Source organism: Homo sapiens, chromosome 9 (assembly GCF_000001405.40).
Source record: "Homo sapiens chromosome 9, GRCh38.p14 Primary Assembly".
Classification (NCBI taxonomy): domain Eukaryota; kingdom Metazoa; phylum Chordata; class Mammalia; order Primates; family Hominidae; genus Homo; species Homo sapiens.
Genome location: NC_000009.12, coordinates 96,106,129 through 96,117,191, shown reverse-complemented (window position 1 = coordinate 96,117,191; position 11,063 = coordinate 96,106,129). Strand labels below are relative to the sequence as shown.

The following is an 11,063-nucleotide window of genomic DNA, read 5'->3' as shown; positions in this document are numbered from 1 at the left end:
AACAAAACCCTCTGTGGTCACAATGGAGAAAAGGTAGGACTAGGGGGCAGCGGGGCTTGAGAACCCTGCCCTCAAATGTTTATATAAAAGGAAGAGCTGCCTGGCACGGTGGTAACTGAGCTGTGTCCCTTCCAGGCTGAGCTCTGTCTTCAGCTGGACAATTTGAGCCAGCTGTGCCTGTTTCTTCCCCAGGGCTGAGAAGGCTTTTATTCACAGGCAGTTTCCTGGGATTGCCATTAGTGAAGACAGGGATCAAGGACTCACAGACAATGCCCTGCAAAGACAGCCACTCCCTTGGCAATTGGGGCAGAGTTTGCATCTTGGAGCTGGAACCTTGGCGGCCCCTGAGCACAGTGTTCTGGAGGAGTCTGTGCTGAAGGGCAGCCTGGAAGCCTGTGGGACATTGGGAACGGTACCAGCTGGGGCCTGGGCTTGCCCCTGGGTACAGAATGTTTTATTCAGTGGGCAAAGCAGTGCCAGGGTGGATGAATAAAGCCTTCAGATTCTGCATGGGGGTTTGTTTAACTCTCCCCCTTCTCATCCTCTGAACACAGCCAGAGGCATTTGGAACATGGCCCATATGATCATATCATTGGTGACAATGGAATCCAGGCCACCCAAAATCAATGAGTCTCTAACAAGGCACAACTGGCTGCTGGGACTTGTCTCCAGCATTGCAACATTGCCAGCTATTCTTTGTCTAAGTGCACTCATGTTAATGTGTAAGCCATTTCCTTCCCAGTGAGAAGGTTCTTTGTGAGATTGCTCTGTATGCTCACACTTGGAGACTGAAAGTTGGACTCGTAGGTACTGAGCGTCTTGTTGTGGAGACCAGATGCAATGCCTGGGCCTCCTGCTCCAGCTCCCATCCAGCCCTGGGTCAAAGCCTGCAGGCGAAGGACAGGACAGCAGAGTGAGCTCCAGGATGTGGAGGAAGGAAGATGAGGTGTGGTGGGGAAAGGGTAAGTGGGTGTGGAGGGTAGAAAAGTGTCCCCGAAAAGATAGCTCCAAGTCCTTACCCCGGTCCTTGCAAATGTGACCTTATTTGGAAATGAGATTTTTGCAGATATGATCTAGTTAAAGGTCTCAAGATGAGATCATCCTGGATTTAGGGTGGGACCTAAGTCCATTGACTAGTAGATATTTTTGCAAGAGAAAGGAGAAGATTTGAGACACAGAGAGACACAGAGGGAAGAAAGCCGTGTGAACTTGGACTCAGAGATGGGAGTGATGCTGTCACAGCTAAGAAATGCCAGGAAGCACCACAAGTTGGAAGAGGCAAGGGAGGGATCCCCCCCAGAACCTTCAGAGAGATCGTGGCCCTGCCAACACATTGATTTTGGACTTTTGGTCTCCAAAACTGTGAGAGAGGAAGTTTCTCTTGTTTGTTTTTTGTTGTTGGTGGTGGTGGTTTTTTGTTTTTTGTTTTAGATGGAGTCTCGCTCTGTCGCCCAGGCTGGAGTGCAGTGGTGCGATCTCGGCTCACCGCAAGCTCCGCCTCCCGGGTTCACCATTCTCCTGCCTCAGCCTTCCATGGAGCTGGGACTACAGGTGCCCGCCAACACACTCGGCTTTTTTTTTTTTTTTTTTTTTTTTTGTATTTTTAGTAGAGACGTGGTTTCACCATGTTAGTTCTCTTGTTTTAAGCTGCCACATTTGTGGTACTTTTGTTATGGCAGCCCTAAGGAGCTAATTCACAGGAGAGATGGGGAAGGGAAGAGGCAAGAAGATAGAAAGATGAGGAGGTGGGGACAGGGACAGCCATGCAGGCTGAGGCAGCAGGGGTGGAACAGCTCCCCTCCCTGTCATAGTCGCTTCATAACAAAATATCCTGGACTGGTGGCTTAAACAACAGAAATTAATTTTCTCAGAGTTCTGGAGGCTGGAAGTGAAAGATGAGGGTGCCAGCATGGTCAGTTTCTGGTGAGGGCTCTCTTTCTGACTGGTAAACGGCTGCCTTCTGGCTGTGTCCTCGTAGGAGAACAGAAGGCAAAGGAAAGCTCTCTAGCTTCTCTTCCACCACGAGCTTCAAATCTAAACCTGATTATCTCCCAAACACCATCACTTTGGGGGTTAGGGTGTCAACATATGAGTTTAGGGAGGATGCAATTCAGTTGATAGCAGGCCTTCATGCATGGGTGTCCCAGCATAGGTCTGGCAGTTTAGAGGCCAGAACTACACGGAATCTTGCTATGCAAAATGGGCAAAAACACCATTGATTGAAGGATAATTTAACCCGGAGCAGAGAAGTTACATTGAGAATCGAAAAATGACACCCTTGCCTTGGGGTTAACGAGGCTGAAAATAAAGACTAAACCAGCAGTAGTCTGGATGAAGGTGAAGGCAGGTGGGGCATCATTCATCAGACCTGGGAAGTGGGGGCGCAGGGCTTATCTGTTTGGGCCTCATCACTGCTCTCCCTATCATCTCCTGTCAGAAATAATTCCCTGACTGGTGTCCCTTCCGTTTCGGGATGAATTGTCCTCCAGCTGCTCCTGATTCCTGCGTTAAAGTCCTGGTGTGATGGCTCACATCTGTCATCCCTGCACTTTGAGAGGTGAGAGGATTGCTTGAGGCCAGGGGTTCAAGACCAGCCTGGGCAACACAGTGAGACCCCATGTCCACAATAAAAGAAATTAGCCAGGCATGGTGGTGGATGCCTGTAGTCCCAGCTACTCAGGAGGCTGAGGCAGGAGGATTGCTCGAGCCCAGGAGTTGGAGGCTACAATGAGCTGTGATTGTGCCACCGCATTCCAGGCTGGGTGACAGAGTGAGACTCTGTCTCAAAACAAAAACAAAAACAAAGACAAAAACAAATCCTAACCCTTTAGTACTTCAGAATAAGACTGTATTTGGAGATAAGGCCTTTAAAGAGGCAATTATGTTAATGAGGTCATTAGGGTGGGTCCTGATCCAATATGATGGATGTCCTTGTAAGAAAAGGGAACTAGGACGCAGACATGTGCAGAGGAAAGACCATGCAAAGACACAGGGAGAAGACGGCCCTCTGCCAGTCAAGGAGACAGGCATCAGAAAAAAATCAATCCTGCCAACACCTTGATCTCGGCAAAGCTCCAGGCATGTGAGAAAATAAGTTCTGCGGCAGCCACCCAGGCTGTGGTAGTTTGTTATGGCAACCATCACCCACTAAGACACCGTCTCCAAGACCCTCCTCTATAGACAGACACCTGATGCCCAGGCCACCCCTCAGATGCCAGGGGAAGCTGGCTGGGAAGGGCATGGGCTTTGGAGCCACCAGCTACACCCTGGAATCTCTGTTCATGGCCTTCTAACTGTGGGACCTTGAGCAAGTTACTCCATCTCTTTAGTCTTGGAGATCCATAAAGCTGGAGGTAATGAACTCTCCCCAGAGCTGTGCAAATTAAATGAACTAACAAGTAAAAAGATAGATTTATTTATTTATTTTAGACAGGGCCTCCCTCTGTCACCCAGGCTGGAGTGAGTGCAGTGTGCGATCACAGCTCACTGCAGCCTCGACTTCCCAGGCTCAACTGATCTCAGCCTCTGAAGGAGCTGGGATTACAGGTGTGTGCCACCATGCCCAGCTAATTTTTTCATCTTTTGTATGTTGCCCAGGCTGATCTCAAACTTCTGGGCTTAAGAGATCCTCCTGCCTTGGCCTCCTGAAGTGCTGGGATTATAAGCATGAGTCACCTCGCCCAGCCATGTAAAAAGATTTAATATGCCTGAGGCCCAAGGACTCTAATACGTTCTCCAATTTTACCTACTCTAGGGGACATTTGCTGTGTTTTGCAGCCACACTGGGCAGCCTGTCTCTTTGGAGGAAATGCCAAGATCTGCGGGGGTCTGGCCCTGTTTCCCACTGTGTGCAGATGAATCTTCTAACCACCTGTCTTCTGGAAGTGGGGACAGGAAGTGGAGCCAGTTCTGCCAGGTCCTCCCATTCAGATGGTGGGCTCCTGAAGAAGTGACATAGAGAACTCATGGAGGTGACAGTGGAGACAGGCTCCCAGCGGAGGGCAGCAAGGACCAATGATGGTGTGAGTGTCCACTGAGAGTGCCATTGGTGGCGTCCCAGGCAGCAGGTTCTGTAGGATGACCTCACTGTCATCTATGCTTGTTTCCCTGCTTGCAGTCAATCTCCTTGTCCTCTGCCTTGTCCTCTTGGGGCCTGTTCTTGGCTGGCAATCATATTGGAAAGTTATCTAACAAATTATTTCACACTAAAGTGAGAAAGATTTAGATAAGTAGTCATTTTCCTAAAGGCACTTGCATTTTAAGAAGGGAAAGGAAACAGGTAAGGCTAAGCATTTCATTTAACTGGCAGTGGAAAACGTAATCATTTTTAAAAATAATTTATAATTTTATAATTTTTAATTTTTTTTTTATAGAGACAAGGTCTCTCTATATTGCCCAGGCTTGTCAACTCCTGGCCTCAAGTGATCCTCCTGCTTTCGCAAATCCCAAAGTGCTGGGATTACAGGTGTGAGCCACCATTGTCCGGCAGGGAAAGTTCATTTTTAAGGCTGACTATGTATGTACCAAGGGCCTATTATTCCCCTGGGATGCTGGTGTTCAAGGCATTGTCTAGTCTGGCATAGGTGAGGCACATTCATTTGAGTGGCCACCTCCCATGTTGCCTACTCGGCTGGCACGGTGGAGAGCTTAGCTGTCTTTTGAGTCTGTGACTTGTTTAGACTTTACTGGTTTAATCAGAAGGCTCTGAATTTCATACTTAAATTCCCATTCAGGTGTCTGGCTGACCAACATTGGCAGGTAAAGGTAACATTTTGGTCAGATGAGGAAGGGGGTGCCGGGAGGCAACAAAGAGGTATTTTCCCCAGTGTCTTACTCCTTTGTTCAGTTTTGATGACATGTAGCACGACTAAGAAAAGAACTTCTAGGCCAGTCCAGTGGTGCAGGGTGTGGGTAGGGTAGAGAACCGTACAAGATGGAGATCCCAAAGAGAGCCTGTGCCCAAATGCAAATTCCTGGTCAATTATTTCAGCCAGTTCACAGTGACTGCCTGCTTCTCCCTGCGTTATTTTCACTGGGACCTGAATCAACTCTTGATTCTTGAATCTAGAGAAGGGAAAGGAATCCAGGACAGAAGGTGGGCAAAAAAGGCAGGAGCGCGAGGTGGCTGGGAAACGGGCGTTCTCCATTCATTTCTCACTTCCAAGTCTGACCTAAGCAGGTCTAGCAGGAAGGGCAGATTATCACGCGCAGCAAAGAGACAGGACTGAAGTTTGGCAAGTAGCACAATCCCATCCTCAGGCTCTTTATTTATGTCACTGCCATGAAATCCACTTTGTGAAACAGGGGGCCTTGTCTGTCTGCTCAAGACATGTCTGGGAGAAGAGGTGGACACCTTCTCCACATCGAGAAGTCAGGGTGCCCTGAGCTTCTGCTATGGCGCTTACCCAGAACCTGGGGAGAGAGGCTGCTGCCAAAGAAACAAATACGTGGGTGTCTTTCCTGGTTCCCAAAGGGCTGACCTTAGAGTCACCCGATTGTGCTGCTTACATCCCTCCAGGGCTTTGAAACACATGCTTAGCTCTTGTGGCTAAGAAATGGACACTGCTGAAACGGACACTAAGCTCTTGTGGGGAAGCTCTTGTGGTGCCTAACTGCATCAGAAGGCGATTCTGGCTTTGAGGCTGGGAAGCTTTCGGAGGTGCTTTTCAAATGCAAGCTTATGTCACCTTTAGGAACATTTTTCAATTCGCTTTCTGCTGGCCAGGCTCGCAGCTCCACGCTGTCGCCTGCTCCTGCCTCTCTGTGGCTCCCAATGTCCAGCAGGCACAGACTTGACGGTTGTCTCTGTGCAGAATTCCCCTCACTTTCTGCTTCCACAGGCTGACTTCGTTCGTGCTGTTCCTGCTCCCTGCTCCGGTTACAGCCACAGGCTCCTCCACATTCTTCTGTCTGCCTCCAGTTTCTTCTTCTCACTTTAATCAGTCTTGTCCACCATTGCCAGATAATTAAAAAACAAAACAAAACAAAAACTAAGCTTCCATATTATCTACAAAATAGTCAAGGTCTTTCTTCCATGTTATCTACAAAATATTCCAGGTTGTTCTTAGCCTTTTAGGAATCAGAGGAGAATTTCAACCCATTATGGGTTTAGGCCTCCAAGACTCTAACAGAAGAGGGACACGGTGGAAGAATAATGGGAAGTGGAAATCTTACCCCTGGCAGGGTGTCCCGGTTCTGGATGCATGCCCAAGGAAACACAAACGATAATTTTTACAAATCAAAGCCATGCAAGTCCCATGGAGACATATTAGAACATGTTTTCTTAGATTTGTAAGTCATAGGACCAAAATTGGTGGCTGAATGGCACTGAGGGAGAGTCTGATAGGTTACTAACTAAGGGGTGCTCTATGTTGCCACAGACTAGGTGGAAAAGGAAGGGGTAGGGAAAGCCAGGGTGGTGATCCTGAGAAAGAAGTTGGATGAGAAGACTCTGCGCCTTCTAGCCATGCTCAAATGCTAGTGATAAACACACACAGACAACATACAGTGAAGTACACACACACAGAGTCTCACACACCTTGCACGGTGTGTGAGCACCTTGCATGCTCTTGGGCATCTACAGCACTCATTTCACTGTCAGGTTTTGCCTTTTCTTTGGACGTCGCTCTTGGGCGTCTAGAGCACTCATTTCACTGTCAGGTTTTGCCTTTTCTTTGGATGTCACTCTTGGGCATCTAGAGCACTCATTTTACTGTCAGGTTTTGCCTTTTCTTTGGACGTCATTTTTCCTTGTGTGCATGTTGCCCATTCCCCTAAGAAGTACAGGAGAGGTGGGCACGGTTGCTCACACCTGTAATCCCAGCACTTTGGGAAGCCGAGGCAGGAGGATCACTTGAGGCCAGGAGTTGGAGAACAGGCTGGGCAACATGACGAGACCCTGTCTCTGCAAAAAAAATCTTTAAAAAATTATCCAGGTGTGGTGGCATGTGCCTGTGGTCCCAGCTACTAAGGAGGCTGAGGCGGGAGGATCACTTGAGCCTGGGAAGTTGAAGATGCAGTCAGCTGTGATTGCATCACTGTACTCTTGCCTGGGCAATGGAGTGAAGCCCTGTCTCCAAAAACAACAAACAAACAAAAAAACCAAAAAACAAAATAACAAAAGAGAAGTACAGCAGATATGGAGCAGAAGTGCGAATGGTCTTCTAAATAGTCAATCTTTGGGGGCATCCTCCCCTCCCTTCTCCCCTCCCCCCCTTTTTTTCTTATACTTCTTCTTGCAGTCCAACATCCTTAGCAGTGCAAAATGAGTCAGAGTTTCCTCAGACCTTTGAGTGCTCAGCATTATATAATCATCACTTCCAAGTAGCATTCGGAGATGTCTTTAAGCTGCAGCAGCTATTGTTAGTTGTTTAAGACACTCCATCACTGCCTTTGATCGGAAACTTTCTCATCACCATTATGTGCATCGGTGCAGGCACCTTAAATTTCACTGGGTCTTGGGATTAGTCATATTATAGAGAGACACAGAGATGTGAGAAATAAATTGAAAAAAGGTCTGTAGCAACAGATTTTACACCATAAAAGAGTAAATTATTAGGTGTTAGGAAAAATATAAATGTTGCAAACGGTGTGTTTTATATACTGTTGCCAAGAATAAAAATATGCCAAATATGGGGGAAAAAGGTGTTGGTTAATCTGACTTCTGGCTGGCCCCCACCCTGCAGCTCTTAGCACTGCTGGGCTGTTTTATAGGGCAGTAACCCAGTCACCAAAGCAAAGAGAATTCGAATAAGGGACTTGGAAGATATGCCAACTTGGGGACTAATTATTGCCTTGTTAAACAGTGAGATGGGGTTATTGTACATTTTTGTGTATGGTAGTTAAAATGTATTTTAAAAAAGAAGTTTTTAGAAACCAAGAATTCCCCAAATTCAAGAAGTAACTGATAAAGTAGTTTATGGAAATGTAATCTCCCCATAGAACCAGATTGTGCAACAAAAAAGGAGAAGGAACGATGTTAAATGGGAAACAGAATGGGGGTGACCCTTCCAGATGGCTTTCTGGAAACTCCTTTCAAGCCAGCCACCCACCAGACGATGCTACCAAATGGCCCCTGTATTCGTTTTTTAGGGCTGCCATAACAAAGTGTCACAAGCTGGGTGGCTTACAACAATAAAAATCTACCATTTTACAGTTCTGGAGGCCACAAGTGTGAAATCAAGATGTCAGCAGTGCCATACTCTCTCTGAAGTCTGTTGGAGAGAACTCTTCTTTGTCTCTCCCAGTTTCTGGTGGTTTCCAGCAATCCGTGGCTTCCTTGGCTTGTCGTCGCATCATTCCAGTCTCAGTCATCATGCGGCCTCCTCACTATGTGTCTGTCTGTGTTTACATTTTCCTCTTCTCATAAGGGCAGCAGTAAATGGATTAGGCATGCTAGTATATCTTCTTCGCTTGATGGCATCTGCAGACTCTGTTTCCAAATAAGGCCTTGTTCATGGGTACTGGGGTTAGGACTTCAACACCTCATTTCTAGTCTCCTATATCACCATGAAGAAAGCTATGCTAGAAAGCTATGTCTTTGTTACTTATACAAAGTGGTATTGATAATAGCTACTTACTCAAAACTACTCAGAATAAGATCAGTTTCTAGCATGACAGTATGAGGAGCCGCCTGACCCACTCCTCCAGGTAAACTGGTAAAAACAGCCATTTAAGGCTTCTGGAAATAGTCCCAAGGAAAAACAGCAAAGGAAGGAACCTGTATTCAAGAAAATGTACTAATTTGGTAGAAGAGGTGAATCTGTGGGATTTGAAACAAGACCACTTCTTTCCTCCCCACTCCCAGCTCAGCACGGTGGCAATTTCCCTCCAGACAGCTACTGCTGAAACACAGGTCTCCTCTCCTCCCAGCACAGAGGGCCTCCTTCCAGGGAGGAGTAGGATGGCAGTGTCCTTCATCCTGCCCCCAGCTCCCTGTTGCTGAGGCTGTCTCAGATGAATGCAGTTGAGAGGTGGGGGCTGCCACCCCTACCTGCTACTCATGGAAGGAGACTCTACCTTGGGTGTGACATGCTGAGAAGACTGTGGCCCTGGTCACTTTTGCCCTGGCTCTTGAGGTGGTGTTTCCATGCCAGAAGGCTCAAGTTAAGAAGACCACTGGCTATCCCCAACTCCTCCACCAAGCACCCAGCCCCTAGGCAGGGGGTGTCACTCAGAGAAAAGCTTACCATTGTTTCTACCCCCAGCTCCAGAGCTCTGGTTCAGATATTTTGTTGCAAGGTAGGGGAGAAGAAGCAGTTCAGAGAAAAAAAGGTAATTCTTAATCTCTTCCCAAGGGAACTGACTTCATTTTCAACAGAGCTTGGAGAAAATTAAGCCTAAGTATGCTCTGAAAACACAGTGGAGGTTGTGGTGAAGGGCAATTGGGAGAGGCTAGTTTGCAGGAGAGAACCCAGAATAAACCACTGGGAAGGAACCCTTCTGGGGGTCAGAACAAATATCAAACACTGACCTCAGAAACTATTCTTTCAAAGGAGCCACAGTTTAATGGGGTTAGTTTGTGGAACACTTTATGCCCCAGGATATTGTTGAAAACAATAGGGCAATTGGCCACCAATTAATGGAGCTTAACAGCTGGATGTGGTTAGGGAAGTGCCAGAGAGCCCTAGCAAAACCACTGTCATCCCAGCACGACTGTGGGCATATGCAAAGCTGAACCTCTTTAGGGAGCAATATGAGAGGCTTAACGCTTTGGGAGGGAAAATATACAGTTGACCTTTGGACAACACAGGTTTGAACTGCGTGAATCCACCTATACATGAATTTTTTTCCACCACTGCCAACCTTGAGACAAGACTGACCCCTATTCTTCTCCCTCCTCTGCAGCATACTCTACATGCAGATGTTGTGGATAAAGATCTTTATGATGATCTACTTCCACCTAATGAATAGTAAATGTATTTTCTCTTCCTTAGGATTTTCTTAATAATATGCTCTTTTCTGTAACTTATTTTACTGAAAGAGTACAGTATATAATACATATAACACACAAAATATATGTTAATTGACTAGCTGTGTTATCAGTGAGGCTCCTTCTGGTCAACAGTAGGCTATTAGTAAAGTTCTGGGGCATCAAAAGTTATACACAATTATTTTACTGCATAGGCAGTCAATGCCCATAACCCCTACTTTGTTCAAGTGTCAACTTTACTTCATGAAAATAAACCAGGCAGTCACTAAAAACAATCAATAAGCAAATAACAATAACAAGTCCTGAAGGAGGGAAAGACCAATATCCAGAGTCAGTAGAATATATTATCTAAAATGTCCAGTTTCTCACAAAAAATTACAAGGCATGCAAACAAACAAGAAAGTATAATATGATCCATACACCTGAAAAAAAGCAGAGAAAGAAACTAACTTTAAGAATGATAAGACATAGGCTGAGTGTGCCTGTAATCTCAGCACTTTGAGGGGTTGAGGTGGGAGGATTGCTTGAGCCCAGGAGAGTGAGGCTAGGCATCTATCACACCACTGTGCTCTAGCCTGGGTGACAAAGTGAGACCCTGTCAAAAAAAAGAAAAAAAAAAAACCCTCAAAAAACCTGTTATAAGCATGTTCACAGAGCTAAAAGAAGGGATGATGACCATGTTCCATCAAATAGAGAATGCCAACAGAGAGACAGAATAATCAAATGGAAATTCTGGATTTGAAAAGTACAATAATTGAAATGAAATATTCACTAAAGGGGCTCAAAAGTAGATTTGAACTGGCAGAAGAAAGAATATGTGAAATTGAAGATAGATCAATAGAGACTATGCAAGCTGAAGAACAGAAGAAGGAATAATGAAAAGTGAAGAGCACTTCAGAAAATGTGAGACACCATTAAGTGCACCAACATACATGTAATGGAAGTATCAGAAGGAAAGGAGAGAAAGGAGCAGAAAAATCTTGAAGATTAAGTGGGAAGATCACTTGAGCTCAGGAGTTTGAGACCAGCCTGGGCAACCTAGTGAGACTTCACCTCTGTTAAAAAAAATAGCTGGGTGTGGTGATGTGCACCTGTAGTCCCAGCTATTCAGAAGGCTGAGGTGGAAGATTTT

General features: G+C 46.2%; 1 long non-coding RNA gene across 1 annotated transcript, besides 1 other annotated feature; it reads left to right on the top strand.

Moving 5' to 3' along the window:
- Positions 1-780: 780 nt before the first annotated feature.
- LOC158434 (uncharacterized) lies at positions 781-10,531 on the top strand. The gene is made up of 3 exons (NR_132344.1): positions 781-946; positions 2,438-2,557; positions 8,156-10,531. It is a non-coding gene; the product is annotated as an uncharacterized LOC158434 (long non-coding RNA).
- Positions 9,262-9,835: an enhancer, noted in NCBI's record as "OCT4-NANOG hESC enhancer chr9:98869639-98870212 (GRCh37/hg19 assembly coordinates)". NCBI's record gives its function as "activates a minimal SCP1, AML or CMV promoter by ChIP-STARR-seq in naive H9 embryonic stem cells {active_cell/tissue: H9 hESC(naive)}" and the evidence as "EXISTENCE:reporter gene assay evidence [ECO:0000049][PMID:30033119]".
- Positions 10,532-11,063: the final 532 nt, after the last annotated feature.